The 18,741-nt window shown below is 51.1% G+C and overlaps 1 protein-coding gene across 1 annotated transcript in view, besides 12 other annotated features; it reads right to left on the bottom strand.

Annotated features, from left to right (window-relative positions):
• LBH (LBH regulator of Wnt signaling pathway) overlaps positions 1-7,162 on the bottom strand; it is a 28,495-nt gene extending 21,333 nt beyond the window's left edge. The window contains exons 1-2 of the mRNA NM_030915.4: positions 6,932-7,162; positions 4,189-4,291 (exon numbers count right to left, since the gene is read on the bottom strand). Coding sequence (NP_112177.2) covers positions 4,189-4,291; positions 6,932-6,957 — 129 coding nt within the window. The 5' untranslated portion in view covers positions 6,958-7,162. The remainder of the gene's footprint in view (positions 1-4,188; positions 4,292-6,931) is intronic.
• Positions 2,260-2,467: a silencer, noted in NCBI's record as "fragment chr2:30459095-30459302 (GRCh37/hg19 assembly coordinates)". NCBI's record gives its function as "represses an EF-1alpha promoter that drives an FKBP-Casp9 reporter gene in an ReSE screen in HepG2 liver carcinoma cells {active_cell/tissue: HepG2}" and the evidence as "EXISTENCE:reporter gene assay evidence [ECO:0000049][PMID:32094911]".
• Positions 6,163-6,222: a silencer, noted in NCBI's record as "silent region_11328". NCBI's record gives its function as "represses an Ori minimal core promoter by ATAC-STARR-seq in GM12878 lymphoblastoid cells {active_cell/tissue: GM12878}" and the evidence as "EXISTENCE:reporter gene assay evidence [ECO:0000049][PMID:35858748]".
• Positions 6,233-6,432: a silencer, noted in NCBI's record as "silent region_11327". NCBI's record gives its function as "represses an Ori minimal core promoter by ATAC-STARR-seq in GM12878 lymphoblastoid cells {active_cell/tissue: GM12878}" and the evidence as "EXISTENCE:reporter gene assay evidence [ECO:0000049][PMID:35858748]".
• Positions 6,823-6,912: a silencer, noted in NCBI's record as "silent region_11326". NCBI's record gives its function as "represses an Ori minimal core promoter by ATAC-STARR-seq in GM12878 lymphoblastoid cells {active_cell/tissue: GM12878}" and the evidence as "EXISTENCE:reporter gene assay evidence [ECO:0000049][PMID:35858748]".
• Positions 7,113-7,662: a silencer, noted in NCBI's record as "silent region_11325". NCBI's record gives its function as "represses an Ori minimal core promoter by ATAC-STARR-seq in GM12878 lymphoblastoid cells {active_cell/tissue: GM12878}" and the evidence as "EXISTENCE:reporter gene assay evidence [ECO:0000049][PMID:35858748]".
• Positions 7,113-7,980: a biological region, named in NCBI's record as "H3K4me1 hESC enhancer GRCh37_chr2:30453582-30454096".
• Positions 7,466-7,980: an enhancer, noted in NCBI's record as "H3K4me1 hESC enhancer chr2:30453582-30454096 (GRCh37/hg19 assembly coordinates)". NCBI's record gives its function as "activates a minimal SCP1, AML or CMV promoter by ChIP-STARR-seq in primed H9 embryonic stem cells {active_cell/tissue: H9 hESC(primed)}" and the evidence as "EXISTENCE:reporter gene assay evidence [ECO:0000049][PMID:30033119]".
• Positions 7,981-8,496: an enhancer, noted in NCBI's record as "H3K4me1 hESC enhancer chr2:30453066-30453581 (GRCh37/hg19 assembly coordinates)". NCBI's record gives its function as "activates a minimal SCP1, AML or CMV promoter by ChIP-STARR-seq in naive H9 embryonic stem cells {active_cell/tissue: H9 hESC(naive)}" and the evidence as "EXISTENCE:reporter gene assay evidence [ECO:0000049][PMID:30033119]".
• Positions 12,259-12,553: a silencer, noted in NCBI's record as "tiled region #4877; K562 Repressive DNase matched - State 7:EnhWF". NCBI's record gives its function as "represses a minimal TATA promoter and a strong SV40 promoter by Sharpr-MPRA in K562 cells {active_cell/tissue: K562}" and the evidence as "EXISTENCE:reporter gene assay evidence [ECO:0000049][PMID:27701403]".
• Positions 13,195-13,254: an enhancer, noted in NCBI's record as "active region_15534". NCBI's record gives its function as "activates an Ori minimal core promoter by ATAC-STARR-seq in GM12878 lymphoblastoid cells {active_cell/tissue: GM12878}" and the evidence as "EXISTENCE:reporter gene assay evidence [ECO:0000049][PMID:35858748]".
• Positions 14,272-14,341: an enhancer, noted in NCBI's record as "active region_15533". NCBI's record gives its function as "activates an Ori minimal core promoter by ATAC-STARR-seq in GM12878 lymphoblastoid cells {active_cell/tissue: GM12878}" and the evidence as "EXISTENCE:reporter gene assay evidence [ECO:0000049][PMID:35858748]".
• Positions 14,862-14,921: a silencer, noted in NCBI's record as "silent region_11324". NCBI's record gives its function as "represses an Ori minimal core promoter by ATAC-STARR-seq in GM12878 lymphoblastoid cells {active_cell/tissue: GM12878}" and the evidence as "EXISTENCE:reporter gene assay evidence [ECO:0000049][PMID:35858748]".

Below are 18,741 nucleotides of genomic sequence, written 5' to 3'. Positions count from 1 at the left end.
CCCGCTAGCCTGCTCTTCCCTACCATAGAAAGCACTAGGACATCACTCCCTCCCACCTGGGGAATGAAGGGGAAGATGCAGGAAGCTCTCAGCTCTGTTTATCAAAGGGAATGTGTGGTGCACACAAGCACTGTGGTGTGTGAAGAAATCGCTCCTCCTGGCTTCCTCCCTCCCAGAGCATCCTCCCTCGCTTGCCTGACTGACAGATGGATGTCAAATGGTGGGGACATGACCAAGAATAAAAGCAGAAAGAATACAAGGGGCAGCCAGGAAGGGACGTGTGCTGATTAGAGAAATTTAAAGAGCCTGGAGAAGGATGATGTGTTCAGACCTTGGTCCAGGTGCTTTAGAAGGAAGTTTTAAATGAAAACCAAGGAGCCACATCTGTATCTGGACCTTAGCTGGGGTGATGAAACTGTAGACGCCTCGGCTGCTGTGCTGAGGAAGTTAGAGTAGCAAGGCCAGGGTCCCAGTGCCGTTGGGTGGAGGCAGTGTCGGTGCCCACAGGCAAATTCCCAAGACCCTTCCCCAGACAGAGCCCAGGCCAAGTCGGGCACAGCATCGAAGGAGACCCAGTCGCAGAGGCATTCCCTAACACCATATTTTTAGAGTCCCTGGAGCCAAAGAAGCAGCTGCTGACTTGCTTCCTTGAATTAGGGTAAGGAAGAAGGCACTGGGCAGCAGAAATTCCTGTTCCACAGGCTGGATGGAAGTGGGGAGGGAGCTGCTGCCATCAGGGACATCAACATCCTGCTGGAGACCCTCCCCACTCAGCTGGTGAGCTGGCCGCCACCCACAGCCTGCCTGCCCAAAATGTACTCAGACTTTCTAGCAACCATTTACTCACCCACCCCACAGGGTGTCACAATTCATGTTAAGTGAATGTGCACACGTGGATTTCCCTTACTGAACTGCCTCTCCAAATGAATGTTACTACAAAACAAGGCACTGGCTCACAACACAGCCCTAACTGCCCCAGGACCAGTAGCTGGGGCTTCCTTGAATCTTTCAGGGGATTAAAAGGGCATCTATCTGAAACCTTGGTAGGCATGAGCGTGAGGAGGCCCTTTCCAGAAGCTAAGGCAGAAGAGAAGGTGACCAGCTTTAGAATCAGGAGACTCAACTTCATGGAAACAACCACCACCCACTTTTAGCACTTAGGCACCTTGGGTGGGGGCAGGGTACAAAGATGAAGATAAGTCCTCCCTTGCCTTCAAGGACCTGGGCAAAGAGAAGGTAAAACAGGACCCGTATCCTCGAAGCGGCATCATTGGCAAGTACAAAATGCCACAGGCATTAAAAGAAACGTCACAGCTGGTACAGAGAAATCAGGAAAGCTTCACTCTCGATAGATCTGCAAGGCAGTGAAGTGACTGACAAAGTCCAATGTGCCATTTACTTGATGACTTTCTTTCAAGGTCAAATCACAAGCCTGAGATCCTATTTCATCTGCCAAGTCTGGATTGATGTCTCCTTCCCACTCTCAGTTCCTTAGAAAAGCAGGTCTCAGTAAAAGCCACGTACTATTATTATCCTTAGGAGGAATGCCAAGAACAGAGCTCCGAGATCCCCTGCCCCCAGGCCTGAGCCGAGCCTGAGCATGCAAAGGGAAGGGGCTCCAGCCAAGTGCCAGTCCCAGCCAATCCCCAGAGCTCTGGTGGGAATGTGTCTAATTGGACGGCACTAGCTTTGAGTGGGCCCGGAGAATATCTGTCACACCGCAATGGTCAGACCAGCTCACTGCACAGCCCTGCCCCTGGCATAAACAGGGGCAAGCCCAGGGGTATCTGAAGGTGCAAGAACATTACCTTAGAGATGGAACTGCCCTCTCAAAGTCCTAATTTTCTTTCAGAGCCCAGCCCCAGTCTGCCCTCCCTCTGATTCTGTCGGCTGGATTTCATTGTTGCTGTCGATGCCTGGACTCACTGTAGCTTCTGTATGTCCCCCACCTGGACTGACTGCACCACCTGTGTTCCAGATGTTTATGTAGATGCTGGGTTCTTACAAGGGCCCTGGACCCTGGGCACAGAGGCCAGCACAGCAGGTTGCACAGGGAAAGTGCCCCTAAATGTTGCTTGGTTAAATACTACAATCTCCCTTTCCTCTTCACCAGGCAACCAAGAGACCTTTCTGAAATCAGAAAAGCTGTGAAAAATTGTGACCAGAGTGCTCTGAAGTTCCAAGTAAGATATTTTGGAACTGGGGAGTGGTCCCCACCAAGGTAGCAGAAACAGATTTCCTGGGAGGGGGCTCTGAGAACTGGGCCCTCAGTCCAGCACCACAAGGGAAGATGTGTGGATCCTTTGCTCAGGCAGTGCTGAGATGTGTCAGGCACCCAGAGGTGATTTTATTTTCCTGCTGCCCTTGCAGCCCCAGGTTGGCCTTCCTCCCCCAGCTCCTTCCTCCCTCACCACCTGCCCTGAGTCTCAGGTCCAGCAGAATGGCCTGAAGGACTCGAAGCATTGAGAAAACGGCCCTATAGGGCCTGGCCCTTTATCCTGGGATGTATTTAAAAGGAAAATATGAAAAGCACACACAAGATGAACAGATGACTGCATTTGGAAAGGTTCTGTGATGGAAATCTAAAACCCAGAACCGAAAGAGAACCTCACCTGTAACCACAAAGAGATTCATTCTGACTCAGGGGCTTGGAAACTGCTACCCAAAACCCCCTGGCTGGTGGGCCAGGAAACTTCTACCCCTCCCACCAGGTTGAGGGGCCCTCAATTGTCTTCCTCAGACCCACTCTGGGGGAGGAGGGTAGAAAAGTCAAACGTAGCAAAGAGAGTTCCCCCTTGCTCCACACACCCCCTTCAAGCTAATGGCTACTTATTTCAAGACAGGCCTGCCAATATAGACAACACAAAGGGGCCTCCTTAGCCTCCCAAGCATGTCTGAAGTTAAGTGACCCTGCCTGAACTTTTAGCTTGGTTCTATCTGATTACTTTCCCTCCATGGCACCCACCCTGGCTCCCTGGCTTTCTATTTGATTTTTTTTTTTTTTTAATTTACAAAATAAATGTCCCTGGAACAGTTCTAAGGAATGACCAGCCAGAGTCAACCTAGACCCTAGCGGAACCAAGCCATGGTGTGGACACACAATACATCAGAAGAACAAGGCTCTGGGGTTAGACAGACCCAAGTCACTGACTCAGGCTGAGCCATTTCCTCATCTGTGAACAGGGTGAGGATCCCCGCCTGGGAGCTGTGGTAAGATGTGAGCAAGGCAGCGTCTGTAGAGTGCTTGGCGTGCAGTGGGCATACCTTCATGTCTGTAGCACGGACCCATGGACCCATCACACTCCCTTTCGACTTCCCTGGGCTGGCCATCCTACACAACTTCCCTAGCTCCAAGGTCTTCCTTAAGAAGAGACTCCTCCCTCCCCCCAGTTTAACAACATAGGAACTCTCCTCCAAAACCCCAAACCAGCTCACAGCCCAGAGGGAACTGCAGGTGCTCCATTGCTCCCACCCCCAACCCAGGGGCAGTAGAGAGGCAGCAGGGCAAGCCAGAGAGAGGGCTGGGGTAAGAGTCCAGAGGGCTCACTCTGGTCCCTTTTTGTGATCCTTGTGCATTTTGGATCCACCAGACAGGATGATCTCCAAGCAAGATCCCAGCAATAGCATCCCTGAGCTAGCCTCCCTTTGGGGAAAATATCTTCCTCTCTAAGTGGTTTGAATGTTAACTCTGAATCAACAGGTCAATAATCAACCCAAGGAAGAAAGCAGCATTGGACATGGCTATCCCCACCAGACCACCCTTCTGCAGAAGCCCCCGACAGCAATGCTTCTACTACCCCAGGCATGGCTGGGAAGGAAAGTTCTGGTCTCAATCGACTAAACAAATCATTTCCTCCTTTGCTGCGGTGAATGGCAAAGTTCACAGAGCCAGTAGGGTCAATTCATCACAATGGCTAATGCTTGCTGAGCCCTTATCTGTCCCAGACACTAGGAATGCTTCCTACACATCCACTTGTCATGGTGAATCTTTACCACAATCTTAGGAGATAAGGACGATTGTTGCCCCATTTTACAGATGAAGAAACTGAGGCTTACTGGCATTAGGGGACTCTGCCACAGTCCCACAGCTCTTATATGTGGCACTGGGATGCAAAACCAAGTCTGTCCTCACCCCCAGCAAAAACCACTAGGCTCTAGAGAGTCAGAGGGGAGCCAGGACTTACTCACCTGGTAGGAAAGGCCATCCTTGCGGGGGCTGAGGCCGATCTCCTCCATGGGCTGGGTGTTCATCATCACCTCAGTCATCTTGGCCGATCTCAGATAGTCGGGGCTGCCAAGAAACCCAGACCAAAAGTCAACAAACACACGCGCTTTCACATTCCTAACTCTTCATGCATTCACTGCTGTGGGATCAGGGGACTGTCTGGAGACAGGAAGAGAGGTGTTCAAAACAGAACTTGCAGCAAAACAAGCTCACACCCTGAGGAAGCGCCTTGCAAGCCCACAGCCCCAGGGCTCAGCCGCAACAGACAAAGCCCATTGTCTGCAGACCTCTCTGGCAAACCTCTTCCCTCCTCTCCTGTACTCTAGTCCCCACTGGCACAGAGGGACCCTGAATGTTTCTTTAAATGACAGAACCAGAGAAACCAAAACAGTAGGTAGCTGAGTCCATCTGTCTATATTAAAACCAATTCAACCACATCTCCCTTCACTTCTCCAACTAAGAATAAAAATAATCCTCACATGAACTTTCCAAAGGGGAACTCTATATATTATTAATACACAATAACAATAACAGGTCAACTGGAGGGAAACAAAGTCCAATCATACAGCTTTCCTAAATTTGTCTCTCTGGTGCTCCTTTTGGCAAAATGTTCCACTTAAAGCCCCAAGGGGTCAGCTTTTCTGCAAGTTTCACATCTGCCATCCATCCCCTTTCTCTAGCCCCAGACACAGCAGCTGCATGCTCACAGCTTGAAAAACATCCCCTGGATTAAAAGCCTTAAGGATACCCGACTCTGACTGCAAAGGAAATTTCCAGAGGGGCCAAGCTGGCCCACCAATGGCTGACATGTGAAAGTGCCTTGTACTCTCTAAGCAGGATACGAATATTCCCTTATCCTTGCACAAACTCTGGGCACATACAGGATCCCGTGCACATAATGCTGAACATAAGCACCAAATACAGGTACCTGCTACACAGCACCCAATGCTTTCCACCATCGTGCCTGTGCACATGGTTTAAAACAAAAATATGGGGGAGTCTTTTGAGGGACAGTATCTAAGGAAACAGGGGTACCAGATGCCTCTTCAATTGTATGGTTACTACATAGATAAGAAATGACACTGGATTTAGAAACAGAAGCAATAGGTTCTAGGCTCTGCCCCTCAAGAACTGTGTGATCTTGAACAGGTCCTGTAACTTCTCTGAGCCACAAGTGTCCTGTTTGTCTGTTACTCTGATGCTAATAGTGCATACCTCACAGTTAGGTTAAGGGCTAATGTCTGCATAAAAGCATTGCAAGCTGCAAAGTGCTAATCGATGAAATAAACTTAAACCTTAATTTCTCATAATATTCTTAATGGGTCCAAACACCCACCTTGGCAAATTTTGAGCAGCCAAAGGCACAAAGCCTCCAACAGCCTTCAAAGCTTCACCTATAATAAGGCACCTAGCTGCTCACACACCACGGGAGAGGCAAGGGAGGGGCACCCACAAGAAGGGTACACAAGCCTCGGGGTGGGGGAACTTGAACTGTTGAGAGAGGGAAGTTCAGTCCCCTCTCTAAACACTGCCAGGCTGGGACGGATGGGGGCAGGGAGACTAACAGAAGATGCGGGGCTTTGCGGCAAGTTTAGGTTCGGGAGCTGGGCCCTGCAAAGGCAGTTTCCTCCCGGGTCTTGGAAAGGCTGCTGGCGACCTCCAAAGAAAGGAGCCAGAAGAGCGCACGCAGGGTGAAGAGTCTGACGTAGGGGCGGCTCTTCCTCGCTCGGGGCTGTGGCGCCGGCCCGAAAAGTTGAAGCGAGAAGCATGAACTTTCCGCTTCTTGGGCCAGGCCGGACCCCGCCGCGGCTTGCGCCGGTTTTCCCTTCGCTCAGCGCCTGCCGGAGACTCGGGGCCGAGCTCCCCACGTCCGCACCTGAGAGCGCGCTCCGGGGCTGCCGGCGCTCGCCCCCGGCCGCTTCTCCTCTAACCCAGAGCAGGAAGGAAGAAACTGCCAGCAAGGAAGTCCCAGCAGTCAGGGGCCTGCCTCTCTCTGCATCCCTCCCGGCTCCGATCCCCAGTCCGGGGCAAACCTCCGACGCCCCGCGCCCGGCCCGGGCTCCTTCCCCTTCAGCACGGCGAAGGCGGCTCCTCCCAGTCCCGGCCCCCACCAATGTGCGTCGGTTTTTAGGGGCGGTGGAGAGGGCAGGGGTTGAGAGGCTGCAGCGCGTGCCCTGCTGCTTGTGGCTTTAGTGGGGTTACGTGTGGGGAGAGCGTTTCCCGCCCCCCACCCCCCCGGAGCTCTGCAAACCCTGCGGCCGCACCAGCTCAGCCCCGCTGCTGCCGGCCTCGACGTTGAGACTTGCATGCAAACAAAAAGAAAAAGAGGAGGGGCCCGGGAAGAGCAGGAGCCCCCCTGCGCCAAGTGGGGCGCGCGCCTCCTGCAGCTCTCCGCATAGGGTGGTTTCATTGGGGGGGATTCACACGTGACCCCTGGCTCCCCCGCCAACCAATACAAACCCTCCGGCCGTCACTTAGGTGAGGGCTCCGAGTTCACGTCCTTTGTCTGGATGTTCTCAGCACCCCCTCCCCCCACCCCCACCTTTGCAACCTTGACGTTGACTCCTGCACGGGCTCGGGCGGCGGGTTAGCGCTGAGCGCCCGCGCCGCCGGCTGCCCTCGCACCCGGAGCCGGCACGAAGCAGGCGCCCGGGCCCGCAGCCACCGCCGCGAGACAGACGCCCGCCGCAGGCGCAGGGTACTCACCAGTGAATGGGGAAATATATAGACATGAAGTCCTAGGGCAGGCTGACACACGCCCCTGTGATTTAAAAACGGTCCCTGCGTCCCGAGTGAGGATGACACGGGCGCAGACGGGCACGGCAGGCGGCCGAGTGCGGACACCGGGCGCTCGCCGTCCGCCTTCCCAGGACAGCCCCACGGCTAGCGACGTCGGCAAGGTGGACACAACTCCCCGCTCTCCACTGAGCACTCAGCCCCACAAAGAGCCCGGGAAGCCGTATTTATAGGGGCGGGGGCGGGGCTTGGCCCCGAGAGGCCCCGCCCTCCCTCGCCCACTCCTGGAATAACGTCACCAAAATCATGAATGGCTTCAGCGCTCGCAGCTCCGGCGGGCGGCGGCTCGGGGGCGCGCTCGGCTCTGCTCCCGGGGCCGTGGTTCGCTGCGGCTGCGAGCCCGGCCCCCTCCCGCCGCTCTCCCACGCGCACACGCGCTCACTCGCACCGGCCCGGACTCCGCGTCCGCGCCGCTTCCCGCTCACAGCCCCCTCCACGCACACCCCGAACTCCAGCGCGGCGGAGGTGGGCGCAAGGAGGGCGCGGGGGCCGCTCGGGACATGACAGCTCGGCGGCTGCTCTGCGCCGGGGTAGGGCACCCGCCACTCCTCCACCCCAGCCGCCCGGCGCCAGCGCCCTCCTTCCCATCCACTGGCTGTCCCCAGCCCACCTCGGACCCCTCTGAAGCGTTTGTTCCCCATACTAGGCCTCTCTCTGGAATCCTCGCCCGCAGCCTTGCGATCAGCGAGGGGAAACAAGAGCATGGTTAAAGAAGAAGCGGTGGGAAGGTGGCAGAGACGCGGAGCCGGGGGACCGAGTGCCCACGGGGCGCGTTGGCTTGCGAAGGGCTGGTCTGCAGCCCTGAGTTCCGTGGAAGGTTTTATTTGTGGGAGCAAGGATGTGGTGTCGTCCTGGGTAGGATTTTTCCATTGGAGACACACATACGCCCGGTCTGCAGCGGGGGCAGAAGGTGTGGGCGGGCGGTGTGCACGCCGCCCCCCATCCTTGACTCCCACGTCTTCTCCGAGGAGTCGCTCATGACAGCAGAAACAAAGAGCTTTAGCCGAACGCCTCCCACACTGCCCAGGAATTGCAGCTCTGGGCGTCTGTCCAGGCAGTCAAAGCTGCGCAGCCCCCCAGAGCCACATGATGGGAGTCTCACTCGGGACCCAGCGCTGCCGCTCTGTGGCCTCCGCTTCAATCACGCCTGTAAAATGGCTTTAGAACCCTCACCTACCTGTGTATAGGGGCTGAGGAAAGGGGGCGCGGGGAGATCAAAAACTAAGCAAAATTAAATTGGCTTTGAAGTGAATCAGCTTTTTAAAAGAAAGGCAGTGAGTGTATTGAATCCGTATATATGTACTTGAAAGTGGAAACGCATAGCTTATCTCAGGCAAAAGGATGACAGAATTAATGGCGAAGGTTCGACAGGGGTAGGACCCTGAAGGAAGCCGTGAGAGAAGACCCTCATAATTTTCATCAGTCCCCGCAAAACCAGCCCAAACAAAAATTATAAGAATTGATGAGAATAATTTATTTAAAAATAACTGGGCTATTTTCAATCACTTATATGCTTATATGTACAACCTGAGTTAAAATAGTGTGCTTCCTATGAAAACACAGCTTCATGACAAGCCCCTGGCTGCCCCCTCCAACCAGAGAAATTCCCCCACCTCCCAAGCTAAACGCATTCTCTTCCTCTGGGGGTGTTGCCTGATGGAGGGGCTAAACGGGAGATGCTGCAGGGATGGGGTTATTGTTGATGTCCTGCACAGAGGGTGGGGAAGCTTCTCAGTGTCACTAGCCAGGTGTGGCACATTGTCATCTAGGCAGCCACAGGAGACGCCAATGCTTGGAGAGCTAGTTTCCAGGCTGAGACTTCCAGGCACTCAGAGGAAAATGTCTGGGCTAGACCCCGGGTGGGCAGGATGAAGCCTTCTGCCACTTCTTCCCAGTAGCAATCTCTGGTGAGGCTGGGATCAAAGACTGTTGCGCCACTTTTACACATAACAGACACACTTTATGTGTTTGTGATTATTGCCATGTGAAGCTTTCAAAACTCAGAAAGCTATTTCCCTCCCTCCCCATTTTCCCAAATATCTAAATGTCAAAATGGCCTCATTTTGGAGAAGAGGGTGGGGAGTAAGGCCTCCACCAGCTGTTATCTGGCCTCTGGAAAAATCCTCTACATTGGAGTGCATTGAGGGAATTACCTGAGGCCTACTCTTTGGGAAACTTATTAATGCCCATTTTAGCTAAAGTTCATCTCTGTCAGTAAGTTAAAATAGAAATAAGCCTGGGGTTGTGATCCCCAGTCTGCATTTTCTGTTTCTCCTCTGGAATCACAGTGACACATCCATTCATTTGAAAATATGGGAGGTGGCTGGGTGCGGTGGCTCACGCCTGGTAATCCCAGCACTTTGGGAGGCTGAGGCAGGTGGATCACCTGAGGTCAGGAGCTCAAGACCAATCTGACCAACACGGTGAAACCCCGTCTCTACTAAAAATACAAAAATTAGCTGGGCGTGGTAGTGGGTGCCTATAATCCCAGCTACTTGGGAGTCTGAGGCAGGAGAATCGCTTGAACCTGGGAGGCAGAGGTTGCAGTAGGCCGAAATTGTGCACTCCAGCCTGGGCAACAAAAGTGTGACTCCGTCTCAAAAAAATAAAATAAAATAAAATAAAATAAATAAAATAAAATATGGGAGGCGTGGGGCTAAGCTTTGATGCAACCATAACTAGCATGCCATTTCTCAGTTATACTAGTCTATATGATGCCTTGCAGGTTTTTTTTTTTTTTTTGAAGCATTTCATTGTCTTGGCTTTCAAAAGAATGTGATAAGGTTAACATAGCACAACTTATGGTCCTCAGTTCACAGATATGTAAACTGAGGCCGAAATAAATTAGGAGGCTTGCCAAAGATCACACAGCCGGAAAGTGGTTGAGCTGGGCCTGGAACTCAGAGGTTGTAGGCATACTCAGCTTCCCCTTCTGTTAACATAGCTCTGGCTGACTGCCTTTCCTTCATATCTCTAAAGATACAGAGTATTTCAACATGCACACTGACCATTTCTTCCCAATATCCTATGAGATAGGTTTCTGTCCCTACTGCCTTTGAATAAATGAAGAAACAGAAACACAAGCGAATGAAGTTACTTAGAGCCCCAGAACCTTAGAGCTGAACGAGACCTTCCAAATCACCTTGTCCCAGTCTCCTCGTTTTACAGGTGAGAAGACACCTAAGAGATTAAATGGCATGTCCAAGGTCACCAGGCTATTAAGTGGTATAGATGGAACCTAACGCAGGTCTTCAGACTGCTGGTCAGATGTTCTTTCCACTTTAACACTGCGTCTTGCACTGCATTTGCCAAGAAGTCAGCAGCAAAGGTCAAACACAACGTCTGGACTCTGTAAACCACCACAGTCCATCACCAACATTTATTGAACATCTACTAGATGCAGATCAGTGAACTAATTACCCAGTCAGAGCCTCTGCACTCCCTCCCTTCTCCCGTCTTTGTCTTTGGAGACTAAAGAGTTGAATTGCAATTCTGCTTCAATAGAATCCAGGTGTAATCAGAATTGCCTTGCTTTCTGACATTACATACATCCATTTTGCCAGCACCTTCTCTTACCTACCTAAAATACAAATTAAAAAAAAAATAAAGGTAATGAGCTTAAGATATTATTAGAGTTATCTCAGCTGCAAGGATGCTGTGTATGCAGGACAGGTAGCGAGTTCATTCATCTAGTTAAAAAAAAAGTCTCCATATAAATTCATTTAGCAGCCGGGTGCAGTGGGTCATACCTATAATCTCAGCACTTCAGGGGGCTGAGGCAGAAGGATTGCTTGAGCTCAGGAGTTTGAGACCAGCCTGGGCAACACGGTGCAACCCTGACTCTACAAAAACTAAAAAATTAGCCGGGCATGGCAGCGCACACTTGTAGTCCCAGCTTCTCAGGAGGCTGAGGTGGGAGGATCGCTTGAGCCCCCGGAGGCAGAGGTTGTAGTGAGCCATGATCACGTCACTGCACTCCAGCCTGGGCAACAGAGCAAGACCCTGTCTCAAAGAAAAAGATCATTAAGCAACACATTCCCACTTCTTATCTCCCTCTGGCTTGCAAAAAGACAGTATTGCATTTATTTTGCCTAATGATGGTGAAGCTGGTATTTTGGTTACTAATAAGGGACCTTACAAAGTAGCTATTTGACCCTGGGGAGGAAAATAGAAGAAGGGAAGGGGCCACACTTGCTGAGATACCCTGGTATTTCTTACTACACTTATGCCTGACAACAATCTTAGACAGAGGCAGATTGCCCCCACTTCATAGACAAAGAAACAGAAGCTCTGATAAGTTAACTACCTTGGCCGTGGCCACGTGGCTCTCAAATGGCTGAACCAAAATGTGACTCTGGGCAGGGTGCGGTGGCTCATGCCTATAATCCCAGCAGTTTGGGAGGCCTAGGTGGGCAGATCACTTGAGGTCAGGAGTTCGAGACCAGCCTGGCCAACATGGTAAAACGCCACCTCTACTAAAAATACAGAAATTAGCCAGGCGTTGTAGTGGGTGTCTGTAACCCCAACTACTTGGGAGGCTGAGAGGCAGAAGAATCGCTTGAACCCAGGAGACGGAGGTTGCAGTGAGCCGAGATCGCGCCACTACATTCCAGCCTGGGGGACAGAGTGAGATTCCATCTAAAAAAAAAAAAAAAAAACCCAAAATGTGACTCTGAGGCTTGCTGTTTCCAGAGCTGATGTTTTCCCCACCATACCACACTTACCATGCCTCTGTGGTTTTGTTTGTTTTCACAGCTACACTATGAACTGAATACAAAACCTCTGGTTCCAATAGCAAAGACCACTGGGATCCATCCAGGAGGGCAGGGCTGGCAGGATAAACAATTTTCTCACCCTGGGAATCTGGGAGCTTCTTAAAGATAGTCAAAGGCTTGGGGTTAAAAAAAGACAGTGAGTAGGAGAAGGGAAGTTTCTAGCCAATTTTTCGGTGAAACTCATTTGCGTACATAAGAAATCTAAAAGGCAAGAATGTGTGTGGGTTGAAGTGAGAATGAAATGAGATAATGTTATGAAAACACTTGGTAAATTGGAAAGCACTGAGCAGACGTAGGGCTTGTTTTTAAGGTATTTGAGAAAAAGAGGGGGTTTAGCAGAGCTGATTTCATCTGCTTCAGTTTTTTACTTATTGCCATCACAAACTGCCCCATTTTCCTCCTGGAGTCCCTTGACTGACATGTCTAGCTTTTAGGGAGCAGACATTAGAGGCAAGTAGCGACGCTCTGCCTGGTGGCCACTCTTGCAGTCACAGAGTCCAAGCATCTTCTCTCGCCGCCATGAGTTCCTCTGTCTTTGGTGCCTCCCAGGAAGTGTCCAGCTGGGTACTGGCCACGCAGAGAATGAATGAGGCCCGAGAATGTGAACCTCCTATCTTGGTCATCAGTGAATTAGCAGTCAACAACACAAAGCAACCCGAACCCACCAGACAAAATCCTCCAGCCTTTGACTTACTTTGCTGTAAGTTCTCAGGCAAGTGGGTTGACCTCTCTGGGTCTCAGACATAGAAAGCAATAAAAGCAGGCAATAGAAGTCTCTCTTTTAGGCCTCAGGGTCTAGTAAGGCTGAGATAAGTTGCTTCTATGAAGGGTCAAGAGAAAAGTGCTTTACGTCCTTACCATACCACTGGGGCTCTGCAGCCCACCCTAAAGCCAGTGGTCCCTCTTCCCATGTGGCAGCGCAGGAGGCGCCTTCATCTTTCAGTCCAGAATCCTCTCATTGCCCCCAAAAGAAGCCTGAGATCTGGCAGCTCATAAACTCTTGCCTTCCCACATATCAAAGAAATTCAGCCCTGGCTTTTTCTTTATTTCTATCGAGGGGCCTTTGAACCAAAGGGATTTTTCTGACAAAGAAAACTGTATGAAATCTTTAGGGTCCAGGCCCTAAAAGAAAACACTCCAACTGGAATCAGTTCAAGGCTCTCATGTCCAATTAAGGAAATACTCACATTCCTGTCCTAGCCCTGGCTGTATCTTGCTTTCTCTCTTTCCACATCCGCACAGGAATGCACTTCAACAGCCAGAAAAGAGAGGTTACTATCACCAGGATGCAGATCGTATAGCAGAGTCCTCCTTGGGGTAGCCTGATACCTTCCCTGAATTAGACAAACAGCACGGACCACAGCCCAGCATAAACTCCCTTCATACCACTCTGTCCACGTCTCCCACTATTTTACCCACAACTCTGGACCAGGGAAACTCCATCATACCTGGGGCGGCAGGGGAGGGAGGAGGATTTATGAAAAAGAGGGAAACACAACAGTTTCTTGTGAAGAAAAGCACTTTCAGTTTTCTTTTCAAGTACACAGGATGTCTGCTAGCTTCCTCCAGGGGCAGCTGTGTTGTTGCTCTTCCTTGGAGGAGCGAGCTGCGTGTTATGCACCAGACAGCAGCTCCTCCTGAACACTCTGCCAGCTCCCTAACTGTAACCTGAGCTAGCACTTGCTGGTTGGAGCCCCTGGTGTACTTCACACCCACATGGCGCCCAGCCTCAGGATCAGATAGCTGGGTCCATGTTACACCCTCCTGCCCTCTCAACAACAATTCTAACAGGCATTAGCACCCACTGTGTGCCAGACAGGTGCTGGCATTTCCAAAGAATCGGTTTAGGAGACGTTTAGTTTTCTCCTGTCTCCATAACTCCCTGTAACCATCCCAGATAACCACAGTCTGTGTGATGGTATTATGCCTGCAAGGTCACTGCACCTGTAAGACAAATTCCCTAAACTGCATTAATGATCCCCTCAAAGAATCACAAAACTAAGGCCGCGCACGGTGGCTCACGCCTGTAATCCCAGCACTTTGGGAGGCAGAGGTGGGCGGATCACCTGAGGTCAGGAGTTCGAGATCAGCCTGGCCAACATGGTGAAACCCCATCTCTACTAAAAATACAAAACTTAGCCAGGCGTGGTGTTGGGTGCCTGTAATCCCAGCTACTCTGGGAGGCTGAGGCAGGGAGAATCGCTTCAACCCGGGAGGCAGAGGTTGCAGTGAGCTGAGATCGCACCATTGCACTCCAGCCTGGGCAACGGAGCAAAACTGTCTCAAAAAAAAAAACAAAAACAAAAACAAACAAACACAAAACTAAGTAGAACGGTCACACATGCTAGCAAGTGCATTTTGCAGGTAAGTCTCCTAGCCTCTGCCCTTCCTATGCAAATTGCTACCCCTGAGTTTCTTTTTTAAAGAAGTGAGAGTCTACCTCTGGTGTTGGCAAGGTGTTGGGCACTGGGGTGTCTGGGAACCTAGTTGCCACTCCCTCTAATATCATACAATAACTGCTGCAGTAGACTCATGTGAGCATGGGTGGGGATATGATTAGTTCAGTCCCAGGCAAAGGCACTGGGAGAGGGGGGCTGACTGGCAGAAGGGAAGCTCTCAAGGGCAAGGAGTAGGTCTGTTTTGTGTCTTACTGTGTCACCACCACCAGAAGAGTGCCTGGAATCTAGCAGGCACTCAGGGAATATCTGTGGAAAGAATGGTAGCAGGAATAGCTAAAGGGAAGGGATGGCAACTGAGCTGGCCTCAAAGGATGGGGAGAAGCTAGAGAAGGGCGATCCTGCCAGCAGAACAACATCAGCAAAGGTGTAGGGGTCAGAAAGGGCCAGGTGTGTCCCAGGAACTAGGGGTGGGCAGCAGCATTATCTATTCCAGACCTTGGGAGAGGCACTCCCATGACTCCAAGTCTACATGCTGAAGGGAATAACTATTTGTGAGTAAAAGGCCTCATGCTCTGCGGAAGGGACTGTGCACACAATTTCTAGCAGAAAGAAAAGTCTGTTACTTCCATTAGCCAAATCAGTCCAGGTTCCTTCACCTCTATGTTATTCGAGTTAATATCAGCGTTTCTCTTCCAGCCAGGTGGGGCCTCAGCAGAAGTGTTAAGTAGGTCAAATTTCATGTATGTGAAATTTGTCTTTTGAGACTTCCCCTTTCTAACCCCTCTTGTTTCACACTTCCCTTCAATGCGCCCCAGGCACCCACTGAACTCAGGAAGCCCCACACTCCCTTCATAACAGCCTCCCAAGCTCCAAAACCACTCTTTGCTTTTCCACTGAAACTTCCATCCTGCAGCTCTCTAAGCCAAGGCAGCTGCCAGGCAAGAGAACTTGATCTGACAAATGAATTCACACTATTGTGAGAATGACATGCAGGCAGCACCTCAAAGGCCTCAGTTTCATGGTGGCACTGCAGACAGGGTAAGTGGGTGACAGGAAAGTCTCTGGTCCTGGAGGCAAATTGATGGTTGATGGTTGAAGCCCAGGGGGAAACCATGTCATGATGAGAGAGAGAGGGGGAACCACCTGGAAGGGCTGGGGTGGGTGCATCCAGTGGGCACAGTATGAGGTGACTTTCCTTGTCCATCACAGTCCTTCTGGAGGGATCTGATTGGAATTCTTGTCCCTAGATCTAATATGATCATAGCACTTGAGCTGTTTAACTCAGAAGAGGGGAAAAAAGATCTGGGCATACCATTTCTTTCCTTCCTCCCTTCCTTCCTTCTTTCCTTCCTCCCTCCCTTCCTTCCTTCCTTCCTTCCTTCCTTCCTTCCTTCCTTCCTTCCTTCCTTCCAAGGGACAGAGCTTTAGACTAAGGGGACCCGGGCACTCAGCATCCCTGCCCAGGGGTGTAAGTCCTGTGTGAGTCTGAGCAAAAGCCAGGACAAGTAATGACAGCAGAAAGACATTTCCACACGCTTGGTGAGGCCTCGGGGTAGCTTACATGCAGGGTTTCAGAGCCCAGTGAGCAGCCAGTGTGGCACGTTTTGGCCTCAGGCAGAGCCAGTGGCCCTACTGCCCCCAGCTACTGAAGATGGCGGGGCAACTGGCCACCACACCTCCCACCCTCACCAAGGGCCCTGGGTGGGTGAATTCAGAGGCACAGCCAGGTAGGAACCTTGGCTTGCACTCTCCTGAGTGAGTGCCTGGCTTTCTTGTGCATTCTCATCCAGGCCTCCTCTTAGAAAGGAGCACCAGAAAGACAGAAGGTGATGCATCTGAAGCTGTTTTCTGATCTTCTTCTTTAATGTCCATGATATTATTACTGCAAAAAGCTAGAATGTTCTGTGTGTTTGAGTCTTCCCAGGGGTAGGGGGGACCTTCCCCACTCCTAGCCACCTGATTATTTTATCTGGGATGGTTGCAGGTTGTACCAATAAAAGTGCTGACCCACTTGGCTTCCACTTCCACCCTAGAGAGGGCCCCTTCATACACCCTCACCAGCATTAGTCTCATTTTACTGCCTTCATCTCCAGGACCCTAAGCCTCCACAATGCTTAGTAATTTCTCTATTTAAAAAGAAGAAAGTAAATGGATTACACACCAGATATGATGCTGCAGGCATTCTTAATAAGAGAACCACCAATTCCTTTCACTTATTGGGGCTCAGTTTGTTTCTCTGTAAAATGGGCCTGATATTTCCTGCCCTCCGCTTATGGCGCAGTAAGTATTGTGCAACTGTAACAAGCACTCAGCTTCCTTGACACAAAATTGCAGTAGTAAATTATCCTCTATTGGGCCTACTTGAAGAACAGTAAAAAGAAGGGGTAGGGAAACCCAAATTGATGATTTCATTTTGTTGCTGATTAACAGGAAAACATAGCAAAGGCAGCAAAGCCCTTTCTTGGTTTCTGAAAAAGAGAGGCCAAGCCTGTTCTCTTAGCAGAGAATGATGCCAAATAGAATGGTTGATATTCCATCCCTCCCTCTTTCCAGCACATTTTGGAGTATTTGTGTGGGGTCTCACCTTGCTGACATCTTGGCTACACGCACACAGCTGTGGGATTCGTGTGGCCTAATGGGGAGGTCATACTAGTCCTCTTTGGACTAGAATGTATGGTGCCCCACCTTCGCAGCCTGCCTTCTGTACACAGGGAAGCGGGCATTTCCTTCAGCATTTTACAGCTATTTCTTCAACAGGAACATTAAGAAACACCTGGGTATCAAGTGCCAGCAAGTTGCCCAGCTCTTCTTTTGTTCTTGAGACCTCCACATGTCCACACAAGCACATTCACTTACATGCCAGGGGCATCTCCTCAGTTGAACAAGTGCTCTGTTTTCTGGGTCTACGCTAGGGAAATAACACTGACCTCAATCCAAACAGAAGCAGAAACTTCTCATCGAATTCACATTGTTTTACCACCTTTTGTTTGTGTTTGGGTATTTCTAACAAGCAGCAACGAACACTTCCCAATGACTTCGGGGAAACAGGTGTGACTCCAATATGTCATTCCTTCCTTCCACAGAGCAGTGACCCATATGGTGGGGAGCGCGAGCAGGAATCACAGTGACAGGACCTGCACCAGGGGTGAGCATCTTATAGTAAGGAGGGAGGGGTCCTCATGGGGTTGCTGCAGTAGCCCATGAGGGAGGTGGTGTATGCAAAGATGGAGCTTCAAAACTTAGTAACTGTTCGGATATAGGAGCAGAAGGGAAAGGAACTTGGGAGAGGCTTGGAGATCTTGAGCTTGGGTGGCTGGAAAACTGGCATCATCCGCTGGAAGAACAGAGTCAAGAGGGGGCTGTTTGGGGAGAAGAGGGTCATGTCCCTTTTCCATGTGATGAACGGCCACTGAGTAGCAGCTGTGGCCAGCGGTGCTGTCAGACCATCCACGCTGGTTGTTTCTCTAGCTCTTGGGTCCACGGTGGCTCAGGTGTTTGTTCCAAAGGTCATAGGCCAGGCAAGTCTTTGTGCTTGGGTGCTTGGCCTCTGCTGCAGATTAGGTTCTTCAGAAGCAGATGCCAAGACAGGTTTTGGGAGCAACACCTGTGCAAAGAAGAAGGAAGAAGCGGGCTTGGGTAGAAAAAGAAGTCTAACTGAAATGCAGGCTCAACAAATGTTGGCCAATTCTGTGAGGAGCTTTGGAGCTAATATTACCTGTTCAGAGTGATCTGCACAGGGACAAAGTGCCTGGGCCTTTATTCCCCTGCTGCACCCAATCCACAGCATGGGCTATCTTGGGAGGGCATGATCTTGGGGGAGGCAGCTTTCTGCAGCTGTGGCAGACTTTGAAGGAACAAACAGCTGGAGGCAGGCTGCTGGTTCCATACCCGCAGCTGGGCAGAAGGCCCTCCGTAGAAGGCGGATCTGGGTGGTACATTTCATGTCTTCCACAGACCCCAACGCTTCCAGCCCTGCTTCATTGCCTCTCTTCAGCTTGCCATGCACTGAAGAGCTCTGCAGCCATGAGAATCCTCAGGAAAAGGACAGATCCGATGCTAGCTCGTCTGCTCCACTTCGCAGGCGACAGAACTAAGGCCCACAGAGAGGAGTTGGCTTTCTGAGGTTCCCACTGTCAGTGACTGGTGAACCCAGGACCAGCACTTAGTCCCTCTTTCTCCTCAGCCTCTGCTCGACTGGAGACTATTCTGTGGCTAGAGGTCTCAGTGGGAAGACCATGGGCCTGGCCTGTGCATGGGCTATGTGCTGTGCCTCTGTCTTCAATGACGGCAGCTTTGCTGGAAACCCTAGGGACTCCCCTCCCAAAGCAAAGAGCAAAGCTGGCACAAGACCTGGGGAGAAGCCCGAATTCAGATTCCCAGAGAGGCAGGGCCCCTCGGATTCCCAAAGCAGTTTCTTTGCTCTGATTTTTGTCCTAGGTGTAAGCCAGCTCAGCAGAGGTCATTCTGGAGTCTCCCATAATTGTTCTCACTGGACCAGGCATTGGCATGGCCAGTAGCCTGCACTGGGATGTCATAGGAACCATCC

The sequence above is a fragment of the Homo sapiens genome, chromosome 2 (genome assembly GCF_000001405.40).
Source record: "Homo sapiens chromosome 2, GRCh38.p14 Primary Assembly".
Taxonomy (NCBI): Eukaryota; Metazoa; Chordata; class Mammalia; order Primates; family Hominidae; genus Homo; species Homo sapiens.
The sequence above is the reverse complement of the archived record's forward strand: the minus strand, read 5'-3'. Positions and strand labels throughout refer to the sequence as shown.